At 47.3% G+C, this 13863-nt stretch overlaps 1 protein-coding gene across 4 annotated transcripts in view, besides 4 other annotated features; it reads left to right on the plus strand.

The window, feature by feature from the left end:
* PTPRJ (protein tyrosine phosphatase receptor type J) overlaps positions 1-13863 on the plus strand; it is a 190281-nt gene that overhangs the window by 20040 nt on the left and 156378 nt on the right. The gene's annotated exons all lie outside the window — the stretch shown is intronic.
* Positions 6098-6242: an enhancer, noted in NCBI's record as "145 bp enhancer 240 fragment used in the MPRA reporter construct; PK_construct_4095". NCBI's record gives its function as "activates an SV40 promoter by MPRA in K562 cells {active_cell/tissue: K562}" and the evidence as "EXISTENCE:reporter gene assay evidence [ECO:0000049][PMID:23512712]".
* Positions 6161-6178: a transcriptional cis regulatory region, noted in NCBI's record as "GATA motif; enhancer activity is reduced when this motif is scrambled". NCBI's record gives its function as "necessary for full MPRA enhancer 240 activity {active_cell/tissue: K562}" and the evidence as "EXISTENCE:site-directed mutagenesis evidence [ECO:0005528][PMID:23512712]".
* Positions 11357-11406: an enhancer, noted in NCBI's record as "active region_4711". NCBI's record gives its function as "activates an Ori minimal core promoter by ATAC-STARR-seq in GM12878 lymphoblastoid cells {active_cell/tissue: GM12878}" and the evidence as "EXISTENCE:reporter gene assay evidence [ECO:0000049][PMID:35858748]".
* Positions 13224-13433: an enhancer, noted in NCBI's record as "active region_4712". NCBI's record gives its function as "activates an Ori minimal core promoter by ATAC-STARR-seq in GM12878 lymphoblastoid cells {active_cell/tissue: GM12878}" and the evidence as "EXISTENCE:reporter gene assay evidence [ECO:0000049][PMID:35858748]".

Below are 13863 nucleotides of genomic sequence, written 5' to 3' on the forward strand. Positions count from 1 at the left end.
CTCATCCTGGCTACCCACTCCCTGTTCACAGACTACAGTCACCTGGCTCTAGTACAACAGACACTTGAACCTACCCCGCCCCTCTCCCTCAGGGCCTGGTACTATCCTCCTCGCTCCTTCTTATCACTCAGGCCCCTCTATCCCATCATCCTCCTTCATTTCCTCCCATCCTTATCACCTACTCATTTCTGTCTGTCTCCCCACCTCTTGGATTATGAGTTCAGGGGAGTGGGACCCCCTATGTCTGATTTCCTTATGTGTAGGACAGAGCGTGCCTCAAAAGCATGCTTGCTTGGTGAATGAATTGAAAGAACCACCCTGACATGGAGCTGGTATTATCCACAGGTTACAATGGACTGGACCTCCTCTTCCAGTCCCATATAATTTTTTTTTTTTTTTTTTTTTTTTAAATTTTGAGACAGAGTCTCACTCTGTCGCCCAGGCTCGAGTACAGTGGTGATCTTGGTTTACTGCAACCTCTGCCTCCCAGGTTCAAGCAATTCTCGGTCCTCAGCCTCCCCAGTAGTTGGGACTACAGGCATGTGCCATTACACCTAGCTAGTTTTTGTGTTTTCGTAGAAACAAGGTTTCACCATGTTTGCCAGGCTGGTCTTGAACTCCTGGACTTAAGTGATCTGCCTGCCTTGGCATCCCAAAGTGGTGAGATTACAGGCATGAGCCATTGTACCTGGCCCCATATCACTTCTTATTATCTCATAATATTCTTACCTTTTGCAGTGACAGCCCCAAAGTGTGTGTGTGTGTGTGTGTGTGTGTGTGTGTGTGTGTGTGTGTTTGGGGTGGGGATCATAATAATCCTGCAGGTGGGGTTTAGCTCTGGTGAAAAGAGCACAGATCCTTTGATTTGGGTTTGAATCCCAGCACTTCCTCTTACTAAGCTGTGTGATCTTGGGACATTACTAACCTCTGTGAGGTTCAGTTTTTCTTGGCTGCAAAATGTAAGCACAATACTAATAAGTAACTGACAGATGCTGTGCTTCTGCCAGACACTGTACCCAGTGCTTTGTGTGTATTGGCTGAGTGAATCCTCATGACACCCTAATGAGGTAGGTCTCTTCTCTTCTTGCTTTCATTTTACAGGAGAGGAAAATGAGATGCAGAGAAGCTAAGCAACCAGCCTGAGGCCACACAGCCAATCAGTTGAGAGTCAGAGTTCAAGCCTAGGCTGCTTGCTGCCAGAGTCAGAGTGTTAGGTAGGACTTTATGAAATCATGCCCACAGGCCCCGGAACAGGTAGTGGTGCAGACACTTGGTAAACCGTAGTTACCCCTCCCACTTTGACATTTACTCTCCTGGTGACATTTAAGTTTTCTGACTGTTTTGTTGTTCAAGTTGGTGACAAAAGTACCAATTTCCTGCCTGCTCACTTCCAAACACAGCTTCTGTTGATGAGAACTAAGGGAGTACAACTTTTCAGGCCGGGGGTGTGCATGGTGTTTTGGGCCTTGGTGCTCAGGAAGTGTGGGCACTCCCTTAAATTTTTTAAATGGGCAAATGAGTGCATTTTCCTATTTAAATTTTTTTTTTTTTTTTTTTGAGACAGAGTCTCGCTCTGTCACCCAGGCTGGAGTGCGGTGGCGCCATCTCAGCTCACTGCAACCTCTGCTTCCCGGGTTCAAGTGATTCTTGTGCCTCAGCCTCCCGAGTAGCTGGGATTACAGGAGGCTGCCGCCACACCTGGCTAGTTTTTGTGTTTTTAGTAGAGATGGGGTTTCACCATGTTGGCCAGGATGGTCTGGAACTCCTGACCTCAACTGATCTGCCCACCTCGGCCTCCCAAAATGCTGGGATTACAGGCATGAGCCACCATGCCTAGCCTCACTCCCTTAAATTTTTAAAATGGGTAAATGAGTGCATTTTCCCATTTGAAACATTTTCTGCTTCAAATCCTTATTGAGCACTTTGTGCTAGGCATTGTGACTATGATCAGTATAAAAACCCCAAGAAAACAAAAAAACAAAAACAGTAATTCACTGTCCTGTCACCCCCAACTCATCAATCCTTTGCTTTTCCATAACTGGTTACCTGGGTGCTTTTCTTCGTTGTGATTATTTTTTATTGGAAATGCAGATTTGTGACTGTGATGGGCCTGAGGTCAGGTCACCTTGCTGAGGCGAGTTTCCTGGGCGGCTTTGCCCTGTTTTGATAAACAGAAGAATGAGCAGCTGGAGCTGCATTTCAAGTGGCTGCTTTAGTTGAGGCAGGCAGGCCTCAGTGTTTATGTGACACCGAGCAGCTTCAAAATGAGCTTGGTCATTTAAAAAAATTTATTTTTTCCTAGTTAGGTAACAGTGGTATAACAACATTAAAAGAAATGTAGAAACTAGAGAAAGGAAAAAAAAAAGCCCTTTATCCCCCCCATCACAAAACTATTATAATTTCAAAATAGTTACAAGTACAATGTATTCCAAGTGGCTTCTTATTTAAGATAATTATATTCACAGAGCAGGGACCGTTTCAGGTCCTTTAATGCTGAAAGGCTAAATAAAGAGAACTTTTTATTTTTTCCATGTTAATACATGGATGATATTAACCATGATGTTTAATAGCTACAGAATACTGCATGAAATGGATGTACTATAATTCATTTAGCCTTTTTCGTATTTAGAGATTTAAGCAGTAGCCAATTTTTCACCATTACAAGTGGTGCAAGGACCAATATCTTCATGAATACAGCATTTTCTGTAAAGCAGAAATTCTTTCTTCAGGATTAATTTCCAGATATCTTTCTGGTATTAGACACATACCACTTGCCTAATAACGTTCCAAAAGGAATTCATTGTTTACATTGCTATTAGAACATATGAGATTGCCTGTTTCATTATGTCCGTCCCAGCACTGGGTATTATCATTAAAAAAAAAAGATTTTAAATTTATTTATTGAGTTATTTACTTGAGACAGAGTTTTGCTTGTCTCCCAGGCTGGAGTGCTGTGGCACGATCTTGGTTCACTGCAACGTCCGCCTCCCAGGTTCAAGCGATTCTCCTGCCTCAGCCTTCCAAATAGCTGGGATTATAGGCACCCACCACCATGCCCAGCTAATTTTTGTATTTGTAGTAAAGATGGGGTTTCATCATGATGGCCAGGCTGGTCTCGAACTCCTGACCACAGATGATCCACCCACCTTGGCTCCTCAAAGTGTTGGGATTACAGGCGTGAGCCACCGTGCCCAGCCAATATTTTAAATTTAATGTTTACATTTGCACACATGCCAATTGGGCTTCATGGTGGCTGCCTCACACCACTTTTTGTCCGTGTGTGAGACTCACATAGAGGCTGTTTTCTGTGATCCTTTTTTAAAAAATAATTACATTTTTTTAATGCTCAGGGAAAATGTCAAATAATTGTTTATGTTTTGTACTGAAATCTGCACTGGTCTGATGGTACCCAGAAAAACTCTTAACTGTAGCCAGAAACCAGCTGAGCCTAGTTGTATGCAACCTGACTGCAAAGGTCATCAGGTGCTCTCATTTTATTTTTAGAGCTATATTTTAGCTCTAACGTGATTGTTGGGTGAACACTTGCAGAATGAAATATGACTGACACCTACCAGCTGTCTACACATTCCTGGTTATATCTTAGGAAGGCAGTGTGTGCTAGCACCTTGGGAAGAGAATGTTGAGTTCAAATCCTAGTTTTGCCCCTTGCACCAATACCTTGATCAGATTCCTCCCCTGCGTCCTCCCTACCCTTTCTTCAACTTCACACCTTAGTTTCTTTACTTGTAAATTGGGTTGATAGTGGGCTGCTGTCAGAATTAAGGACATCGTTTTGTCAAGGATTTTGCATACAGGAAGTCATGGTGACAGCTGTTGTTACTGTTGTCCTGAGGAGTGGGGACAGGAGAGGAGGAAAACAGGCTGGTCCAGGTGTCTTTCCTTAAAGGAGGCTCCAGCTTAGTTGGGGAGATAGATGGGCTGGTCAGAGTTTCAAGTCATAGGCAGTGCAGGCCTCAAAGGAACAGCCAGGACTTGAGACAAGAATCAGGCCAAGTGAGTAACTGTTGCTGCTGTGGCAGTGAATGTTAGCAGCCCAGGCCTGCAGGGGGGAAGACTCATTTGGGGTACAGTGAGAGGTCTTGCTGGGCAAATGCAGGGTGTTTGCGGCAAGGTAGGCTGGGGCTGGACTTGGAGGATGCCTGCGTGATTTAGATTCTATCTTGTAGAGAATGAGGTATCATGGAAGGATTTTCTTTTCATGTTGTAAATATTAATCATTTTATTGTTTTGTATTTTTGATGGCAATATAAAAATACCAGCTTTGTTGAGATATAATTTACATACAGTAAAATTCATCCATTTAGAAAGTATACAGTTCAAAGCTGGGCGCAGTGGCTCATGCCTGTAATCTCAGCACTTTGGGAGGCTGAGGTGGGTGGATCACTTGAGGTCAGGAGTTCAAGATCAGCATGGCCAACATGATGAAACCCCGTCTCTACTAAAAATACAAAAATTAGCCAGGCATGGTGGTGGGTGCCTCTAATCCCACCTGCTTGCGAGGCTGAGGCTGGAGAATCACTTGAACCTGGGAGGTGGAGGTTGCAGTGAGCAGAGATCATGCCACTGCACTCCAGCCTGGACGACAGAGTGAGACTCTATCTTAAAAAAAAAAAAAGCATACAGTTCAGTTGTTTTTAGTATATTCAGAATTGTGCAACCATCACTGCTGTCTAGTTCCAGAATATTTTCGTTACTCACAAAAGAAACCCCATGCCCACGAGTGCTCACTCCTGATTTCTCCCTCCCCCACCTCCTGGCAACCACCAATTTGCTTTCTGTTTCTGTGAATTTACCTGTTCTATGTATTTCATGTGAGTAGAATCATACACTGTGTGTCCTTTTGATTCTGGCTATTTCGCCTAGCATAGTGTTTTCAAGGTCCATCCATGTTGGAGCAGGTATCACTGCTTTGTTCTTTTTTTATGGCTGAATGATATTTCATCACAGAGAGATACCATGTTTTGTTTATCCTTTTATGAGCTGATGGTCGTTTGGGTCATTTCTACTTTTTGGCTATTGTGAGTGACACTGCTATGAACGTTTGTCTACCAGTGTTTGTGTGGCCACGGGTTTTCAATGTGGGAGGATTTTGAACTGGGGAGTGGTGTTTGGAGCCTTTGGGTGGGGTGGGCTGTGAGGAGCCTGTGTGTGTGTCTGCCCTTACTGGGCTGGGTTTAGGGCAAGCTTCATGTGCTTCCTTTCTTTTAAGGGACTCTCTGAGACAGGGTTATTATCCCCTTTTTGCAGATGAGGGCACTCAGGCTCAGTGAGGTTAAATAAGCTGCATGGCTAGACAATGGCAGATAGCAGCCCTGTCCGGCTCTTAGCCAGCTTGCAGCCACCTGCCCCTGCTGGGCCAGGCGATTGCAGTGGTCTTGGCTGGGAGGGGCCCAGAGGCTGTGTGGTGCTGGAGAGAGGCAGCAGGCTGGACCTGGTTGGGCAAGGCTGAGTGGTTGTGGGATAAGAGGAGATGTTTCAGAGCAGCACCCACAGAACCGCTGTGATGGGAGAAACAAGACTTCGAGTTAGGAGAGTGGGTTGGACTCTTGGTGCAGCCTATGTGACCTTGGGCTGATCTTGTCTCTTTTGAGCATCACTTTCCTCATCTGGAACCTGGGGCTCTTGTGGCTTCCTGCCTCTCTCAAGGGTGATTCGGGAGGAAGAGTGGGAGAGAGAGAGAGAGAGGGAGAGGATGGAGGCGAGAGAGGTGGAGTGGGAAAGGAGGGCAGAATCTGCTAGAACCTGCAGAGCTCATAATCTAGGGGCGGGGAGGGACATGCAGCAGGTGCAGGCAGGTGTGGGAGGAAGTAGCCTGGTCATCTGGATGGACATCCCTGCCCATTCAGAGAAGCTCTGAACCCTGCAAAAGCTCCCACGTGGAGGCCAGTGAGCTGGTTATAATCCAGAGACTGTCAGTTTTTCCTAGTACATATTTGGACCTGAGCCTTTGTTTCTGCAAAGAGTCTGGTACTGACTCACACAGTGTCAGCAGCCCCCTTCCATCCCCTGGCACACCCCTCCCTCATTCCTACTGAGCATTACCTTAAAACCAGTGAGGTCTTTCTGGGTCTTAAAGGTCACCCAGTGTCCTTGCCTATCTGGGCCTGTCTCTGTTCAAGTGGCAAGGCGGACCATCCCCTTTATCACTGACTTGCAGCTTGCCTGGGTTTTGTAAAAAGCTTGTCATTGCCAGTTAGAAAATAAAGACAGAAACCTCCCCTTTGGCATTGGTATCGTGATGACTTGCTCTTGTTCTGACTCTATTTTGCTGGCTTGTTATGAGTCAGTCATTTTTTTTTAATGAAATGAATACCTTTGTCTTAATATGAAGCTAGGCATATATGATAAAGGTTAGATGATTTTTCAAATATGAAATCAGAATTCTACCCATACTCCCAAATTAGAGAGCAGTCTGATGTGTTCCCCTTTACTGTGACCAGTGGCTTCATAGGGGACCTAGTTATGAGTCCTGTTTCTTTTTTTTTTCTTTTTTTATTTTGAGACTGAGTCTCGCTTTGTCTCCCAGGCTGGAGTGCAGTGGCGCAATCTCTGCTCACTGCAAGCTCCGCCTCCCGGGTTCACGCCATTCTCCTGCCTCAGCCTCCCGAGTAGCTGGGACTACAGGTGCCTGCCACCACGCCCGGCTAATTTTTTGTATTTTTTTTTTTTTTAGTAGAGATGGGTTTTCACCATGTTAGCCAGGTTGGTCTCGATCTCCTGACGTCGTGATCCGCCCACCTCGGCCTCCCAAAGTGCTGGGATTACAGGCATGAGCCACCACACGGGGCCAGGCCTTTTTCTTTTCTTTTTTTTTTCCTCACTGTGTCACCCAGACTGTAGTGCAGTGGCACAATCTTGGTGCAACCTCCGTCTCCCAGGTTCAAGCGATTCTTGTGCCTCAGCCTCCTGAGTAGCTGGGATTACAAGCATGTGCCACCACACCTGGCTAATTTTTCTATTTTTAGCAGAGATGGGGTTTTGCCATGCTGGCCAGGGTGATCTTGAACTCCAGACCTCAAGTGATCTGCCCGCCTCCCAGAATGCTGGGATTACAGGTGTGAGCCACTGCACCCGGCTGAGGCCTTTTTCTTCTGTGCGTTCCTGCTGTCTTCCCTCCAGGCAGCAGCAAGCTGGTAGGAGCTGTACTTGTGAGTTGACATCATGATGTACAGTCACTGGTCACTTATAAAACTGGGCAGGCCCAGAGCAGGAAGGGTCATTGAGGGTCATCTAATGCAAACCGTTTACTTTAGAGATGTTGAAACCAAGGCGCAGAGAGGGGAAGTGACTTGCCCAAGACCACACAGCTAATATCACTGTGAGCCCAGGTTCCTGGCTCCAGTTCCTGGTTCTTTCTGCCCCCTTCTTCCCGACACTAAAGATACAGTGGTGAGCACACAGGGTATTCAGTAACGTATCTATTTTTGACCTGTTTTTAATGGAGGCTGAATTGGGCTTTTAGGGTTGAGTTCTGACACGTGCCAGGTGATCTGCTGGAGGGAAATCTGTTACTTCTGGGGAAGAGTTGAAGGTGTCTTCTGAACTCTGGAATCTGTTTTGAGGGGAGGCTGAGCCCATGCGTGGACCCTTAGGCTGAGCCCATGCCTGCTTCAGATGTTCCACACCTTTCACCACAATTTATTTATTTATTTATTTTTTGAGACGGAGTCTCGCTCTGTGGCCCAGGCTGGAGTGCAGTGGCGTGATCTTGGCTCACTGCAACCTCCGCCTCCTGGGTTTAAGCAATTCTCTGCCTCATCCTCCCGAGTAGCAGGGATTACAGGCATGTGCCACCACGCCCAGCTAATTTTTGTATTTTTAGTAGAGACGGGGTTTCACCATCTTGGCCAGGCTGGTCTTGAACTTCTGACCTCGTGATCCAACTGCCTCGGCCTCCCAAAGTGCTGGGATTACAGGCGTGAGCCACCATGCCTGGCCTATTTATTTATTTTTTATTTTTTTGAGTTGAAGTTTTGCTCTTGTTGCCCAGGCTGGAGTGCAATGGTGTGGTCTTGGCTCACTGCAACCTCCGCCTCCCAGGTTCAAGCGATTCTCCTGCCTCAGTCTCCCAAGTAGCTGAGATTACAGGCATGCGCCACCACGCCCGGCTAATTTTTGTATTTTTCATAGAGGTGGGGTTTCACCATGTTGGCCAGGCTGATCTAGAACTCCTGATCTCAGGTGATCCACCCACCTCAGCTTCCCAAAGTGCTAGGATTACAGTCGTGAGCCACCATGCCTGGCCACACCCCGGTTTATTGCATTTGCTTCTAATAGAGAAATCAACCCAGTAAACAAATGAATTATTGTTAGCAAAACTGGGGGGTGGGTTGGGAAAGGAAAGTAGTTCCTTCTATAATAAAACTTGCTGATATTTCGTTGAAAGTCATTGTCTTACTCATCCTTGTATAAGATAAGTCACACAATGAGTGGTATCAGGGTTGCAGGGTTTCCCCCTGTGAGGACACAATGGGATGAACCGTGTGTGGGATGGTCTGTTAAAGAAAAACAAGAAGCCATGTGTTGGAAACAACCTAAGTATTGAGCGGTGGAGGATTGCTGAAATTGTGGACTACTATGCAGTCATTACCAACGCACTGAAAAAATGTTCCATGATATGGCAGGATGTTTATGCTATAAGAAATTTAAAGACGCGAGCTTCAAAGTAAAGTATAAACCTAATTTGGTCAAACAGGCTGGGCGCAGTGGCTCACGACTGTAATCCTAGCACTTTGGGAGGCCGAGGCAGGTGGGTCGTTGGAGGTCAGGAGTTCGAGACCATCCTGGCCAGTATGGCGAGACCCCATCTCTACTAAAAATACAAAAACTAGCTGGGTATGGTGGCTCATGCCTGTAATCCCAGCTACTCAGGGGTCTGAGGCAGAAGGATCACTTGAACCTGGGAGGCGGAGGGTGTAGCGAGCCGAGATTGTGCCACTGCACTCCAGCCTGGGCAATAGAGCGAGACTCTGTCTCAAAAAAAAAATATTGGTTAAAGAAACAAACGTTAGACTTGAAGCCGTGCTTTATATGGATATGTGGTGCACTATAATGTGGTGCTTAAAAAGCAACTTAGGCAGACCTGGGCCAAGTCTGGGCTCTGCCACGTAACTGCTATGTGCCCCTGGGCAAGTCACTGGATCTTTCCCAGTTCAGGCTTCTCAGCTGTTAAGTGGGACTAGTACCTTATCTCTTTGGGTTGTTGTGAGAATTAAATGAGCTATCTGGGCTTTCAGAGAAAGGGCTTCATGTGCCGTGGCTCTGATCAGACCAAACAAGTTATCTACTGCTCTAAGCCATCAAGGCCCCCCATGCCTGTTGGATACTGTTGAGTTATTTGGGTTGGCATGTAGTGCAGCGTTTCTGGACATACATACTCTGGGGACTCCCCATCCCAAATTTCTTACAGTCTCTCCAGTGTGCCACACGCTTTCTTGCCACTAGGTCCTTGCATGTGATGGAGTAACTCTTGTACCTCTGTCTCCCTAAATAGACGGGGTTCTCCAAGGACATCGTGCCACAGGGCCTGGTAACCCAGTAGGTGCTCAGTAATTTATTTATTTATTTATTTTTTTTGAGACAGAGTCTAGCTCTGTCGCCCAGGCTGGAGTAGAGTGGCGTTATCACGGCTCACTGCAACCTCCCACTCCCAGCTTCAAGCAGTCCTCCTGCCTCAGCCTCCTGAGTAGCTGGGATTACAGGCGGGTGCCACCACGCCCGGCTTATTTTTTATATTTTTAGTAGAGATAGGGTTTCGCCATGTTGGCCAGGCTGGTCTCAAACTCCTGACCTCAAGTGATCCGCCCGTCTCAGCCTCCCAAAGTGCTGGGATTACAGGGTGAACCACTGCGCGGCCCATTAGGTGCTCAGTAATTTGTTGAATGAATTGAAGACATGGGACTTGAGTTAGGCTTTTATTATTATTATTATTTTTTGAGACGGAGTCTCACTCTGTCACCCAGTCTGGGAGTGCAGTGGCGTGATCTTGGCGCACTGCAACCTCCGCCTCCTGGGTTCAAGTGATTCTCCTGTCTTAGCTTCTTGAGTAGCTGGGATTACAGGCATGCCACCACGCCCAGGTAATTTTTGTATTTTTAGTAGAGATGAGGTTTCATCATGTTGGCCAGGCTGGTCTCGAACTCCTGACCTCAGGTGATCCACCTGCCTTGGCCTCCTAAAGTGCTGGAAATATAGGTGTGAGCCACCATGCCTGGCCTATTATTATTATTATTATTATTATTTTGGAGATAGGGTTTTTCTGTGTGGCTCAGGCTGGACTTGAATTCCTGAGCCCAAGTCATCCTTCCGCTTCAGCCAATTGAGTAGCTGGGATTACAGGTGCACTGTCCCTCCCAGCAAGTTGGGTCTTTAAATAAAGAGTGGGGTTTGGTGAGCAGGGTGGGTGCACTGTTCTAGGAGGTGGGCAGGACAGAGGTCAGTGGTGGTCCCTACTGCCTATTCAGGGACCAGGGCCCCTGGGCAAAGGCAGAGATAACATTGGCACAATCTGCCTTTCAGCTTTCATTGTCATGCGGGAGTCACCATGCTTTGTAAGACATTTAATCTATAAGACTTGATTAGTTTTGCTACCTTTCATAGCTTGGGGCTGTGTATGCCTGTTTGTAAGAGAGATCCATCCAGATCAAGCCTGTGCAGCAATAATGTATGTGCACAAGGCCTCTTGTGTTGTGCTGATGGTAAGATAGGAGCTGGACTTGGAGGCAGGAGGTGGCCTGGGTTCTGTTTCTGGACTTACCACTTACTAGACGGGTACTCTTGAGTGGAGTCACTTAAGAAAGTAATGCCGATCAGGGGCTCAGAGTGTCCCAAGTGTTTTCTCTTGCCTTATTCTCATTAAACAGAAGTACAGCTCAGAATATGATGGGCCAGTCTTATGTGATTGGTGTTAATAAGGCAGTAGAGAGTTGGGGGTACTCTGGCAGACCATGAGAACCTGCCCTGTTTGAAGGAGAATGCTGCCTCCTCTTCCTCCTTTTAAAATTCACACATATGATGCTCACTAAGTGTCTGGCACCCTTTTTTCTTTTTCTTTTTGGGGCAGAGTCTTGCTCTGTTGCCCAGGCTGGAGTGCAGTAGCACAAACACACCTCACTTACTGCAGCCTCAAACTCCCTGGCTTTAAGTGATCCTCCCACCTCAGCCTTCCAAGTATCTGGGACCACAGGCACATGTCACCACACCTGGCTAATTAAAAACATTTTTTTGTAGAAATGAGGTCTTACCAGGTCGCCCAGGCTGATCGTGAACTCCTGGGCTCAGGTGATCCTCCTGTCTTGGCCTCCCAAAGTGCTGACATTATAGGTGTGAGCCACTGTGCCCCGCCTCAGTTTTTAAAAATACTTGCTTAAGGAGAGAGCACTGAAGGAAGATTTAGATCTGCTCTGTTGAAGTGACAGAGTACGGTGGTTTCCATTTATGCGTATTTTGTAGTTCGGATGGCTTCTTGTGGGGAGTCCTGTGAGTTCACACTTGGGGGCATGGTGTGGGGGACCTGTGAAGTGGGTGTTCTGGGGTGAGTGCGATGCTAGTCACTGTCCCAGTTTTCTTCTCATTTCTTTTTTTGTGAGTGCTTGGCTAGTGGCAGCCTTGCAGATCAGCTAGTTTTGACCCACATCCTCCCTCTAAGTGGTGCTCATTGAATTGAGCCACAGCCCCAAGGTCATGTTTTCAAGGTTGGCATTTGGGAGGCCTTGTCAGAAGGTCTTATACCATATTCCAGTCACCCAAAGTGCTGCCCGCCATGCCTGTTCGTTCAGCAGGATTTCCCTGAGCACCTGCTCTGTGCCAAGCCCTATGCTAAGCACCAAGGGAGTAAATATGGAGGGCAGTGTCCCCAGAGTCCAGGAACTCGTGATCTAGTCGGGGAGGAGAGGGGTACCTACTCTGTCTTTTACACAGCAAGTGTAACCTCTGAAGAATGATGTTCCAGGAGGCAAGAGCAACCCTGGCGGACTGGTGGAGCTGGGAAGGGAAAGATGCTTCTGGAGGGGCCTTGGGAGAAGAGTCCTCCAGGGTGAGCCCCTTGAGAGAGGTTTCAGAGCTCTCATCCATCTTCATATCCTGGCACTTAGCCCAGGCACTAAAATTTGCATATTTTTGATGGCAATTAAAAAAATACTAGCTTTACTGAGATATAATTCACATACAGTAAAATTCACCCATTTAAAAAGTATACAGTTCAAGGTTAGGCACGGTAGCTCATGCCTGTAATCCCAGCACTTTGGGAGGCTGAGGCAGGTGGATCACCTGAGGTCAGGAGCTTGAGACCAACCTGGCCAACATCGTGAAACCCCATCTCTACTAAAAATACAAAAATTAACCGGGTGTGGTGGTGTGTGCCTGTAATCGTAGCTACTTGGGAGGTGGAGACAGGAGAATTTCTTGAACCGGGTGGGGGAAGTTGCAGTGGGCTGAGATTGTGCCACTGCACTCCAGCCTGGGCAACAGAGTGAGACTCTGTGTCAAAAAAAAAAAAAAAAAAAAGGTTCCATTCAAGATGTCAAGCCCCACGGGACTGAGGGTAACATGAGGGTAACAGACAGGTGATGTTAAATTCCATTTGGGCTCATGTTCACCCCCAGGCCCCTTATTTTCTTTCAAACACATGGAATGGGCATTTAGAACTAGGAAGATCATGAATCTGGTGGCTGTGTAGATGCCATACCAGGTATGGACCACAGGCTTGGAGCGCAGCAGCATACAGGGGTCAGAGGTCAAGGCCAGTGGTCTATCAGAACCCAGTTCCTGCAGGAGCCAGTGCCGGTACTAGGTAGACTCAGATGACTGAATGGTCCTCGGGATCTGAAGGCCAGTGGGGGAGATGAGGCCTGGCCTCCCGGAAGTGCTCAGTAAACATTTGTTAATCATTTCCTGCCTAGGGAAGCTCTGTGGTATGCTCAGGAGAATCTTGCTTCTCATGGGGGAATGGGTGGTTGTCATTTGGGTGGCCTGACTGCCAGCCTGCTTGCTGGCTCTCTGGGAGTTGGGGTGGTGGCATCAACCTGCAGAGGCGGGGCAGTGGGGCAGCTCACGGCTGTGTGGGTAAGTAAGCAGTGAGCACAGTGAGGGAGCTGTTGCCAGGAGCCTCTTGGCTTAGTGAGCCAAGCAGAACCATGTGATGCACCCTGTGGGCGGCCACCTGGGGACTCAGGACATGCACCCAGATCCCTCCTCCCCTACCCACTTCAAAGAAAGTGCTGCCCTCCCAGTGGTGATGAAGACCTTCCGCTGGCCCCAGCCTCTGGGATCTGGCCTTTACTTGGGTATTCATGTGGCCCTGGGGGTTGGCTTTGCTGAAGTTGGGCAGAGCAGGTGGGTTCTGGAATGTGCAGGGGCAACCAGAGTGTCCATCTGTTTGGGTGAAGCCAGCTGTTTAGGTCTGAAGGATCTGTTTGATTTTTAGAAACATGATGTGTTCCAGAGTTAGTAGGTGGTGGTGATGGAGGGTATTGGCGTGAAGAGTGTGGATGCTCTTCGTTCCTTTGCTGTTTTGGGACTATCTCTCTATGGGGTAGTGGCCCCTTTCCTTGTTAGGATCATTTAGAACCCCCTGGGATCATGAGAATGAATGTGGGTCTATCCTTCCTTCTGTGTGAGGAAAAGGGGAGGTATTGTGGTTAAGCAAGTTTGGAGAACTCTGGCCTGAACAAAATCAAACAGATGTCTTTCTTGCAGGACTTAGAAGAAACTTAAATCTGTTGGTAACTCTTTAAGAGGGAAGGGGATATAAAACCCTTGTTTTCCCTAGATTTTTGTTTTACTCTATAGCTGTCTCTTTTTAGAAGCATCTCATGAGACTAATGTTTTTAGGAACCTGCTGTA

The sequence above is a fragment of the Homo sapiens genome, chromosome 11 (assembly GCF_000001405.40).
Source record: "Homo sapiens chromosome 11, GRCh38.p14 Primary Assembly".
NCBI classification, from domain to species: Eukaryota; Metazoa; Chordata; class Mammalia; order Primates; family Hominidae; genus Homo; species Homo sapiens.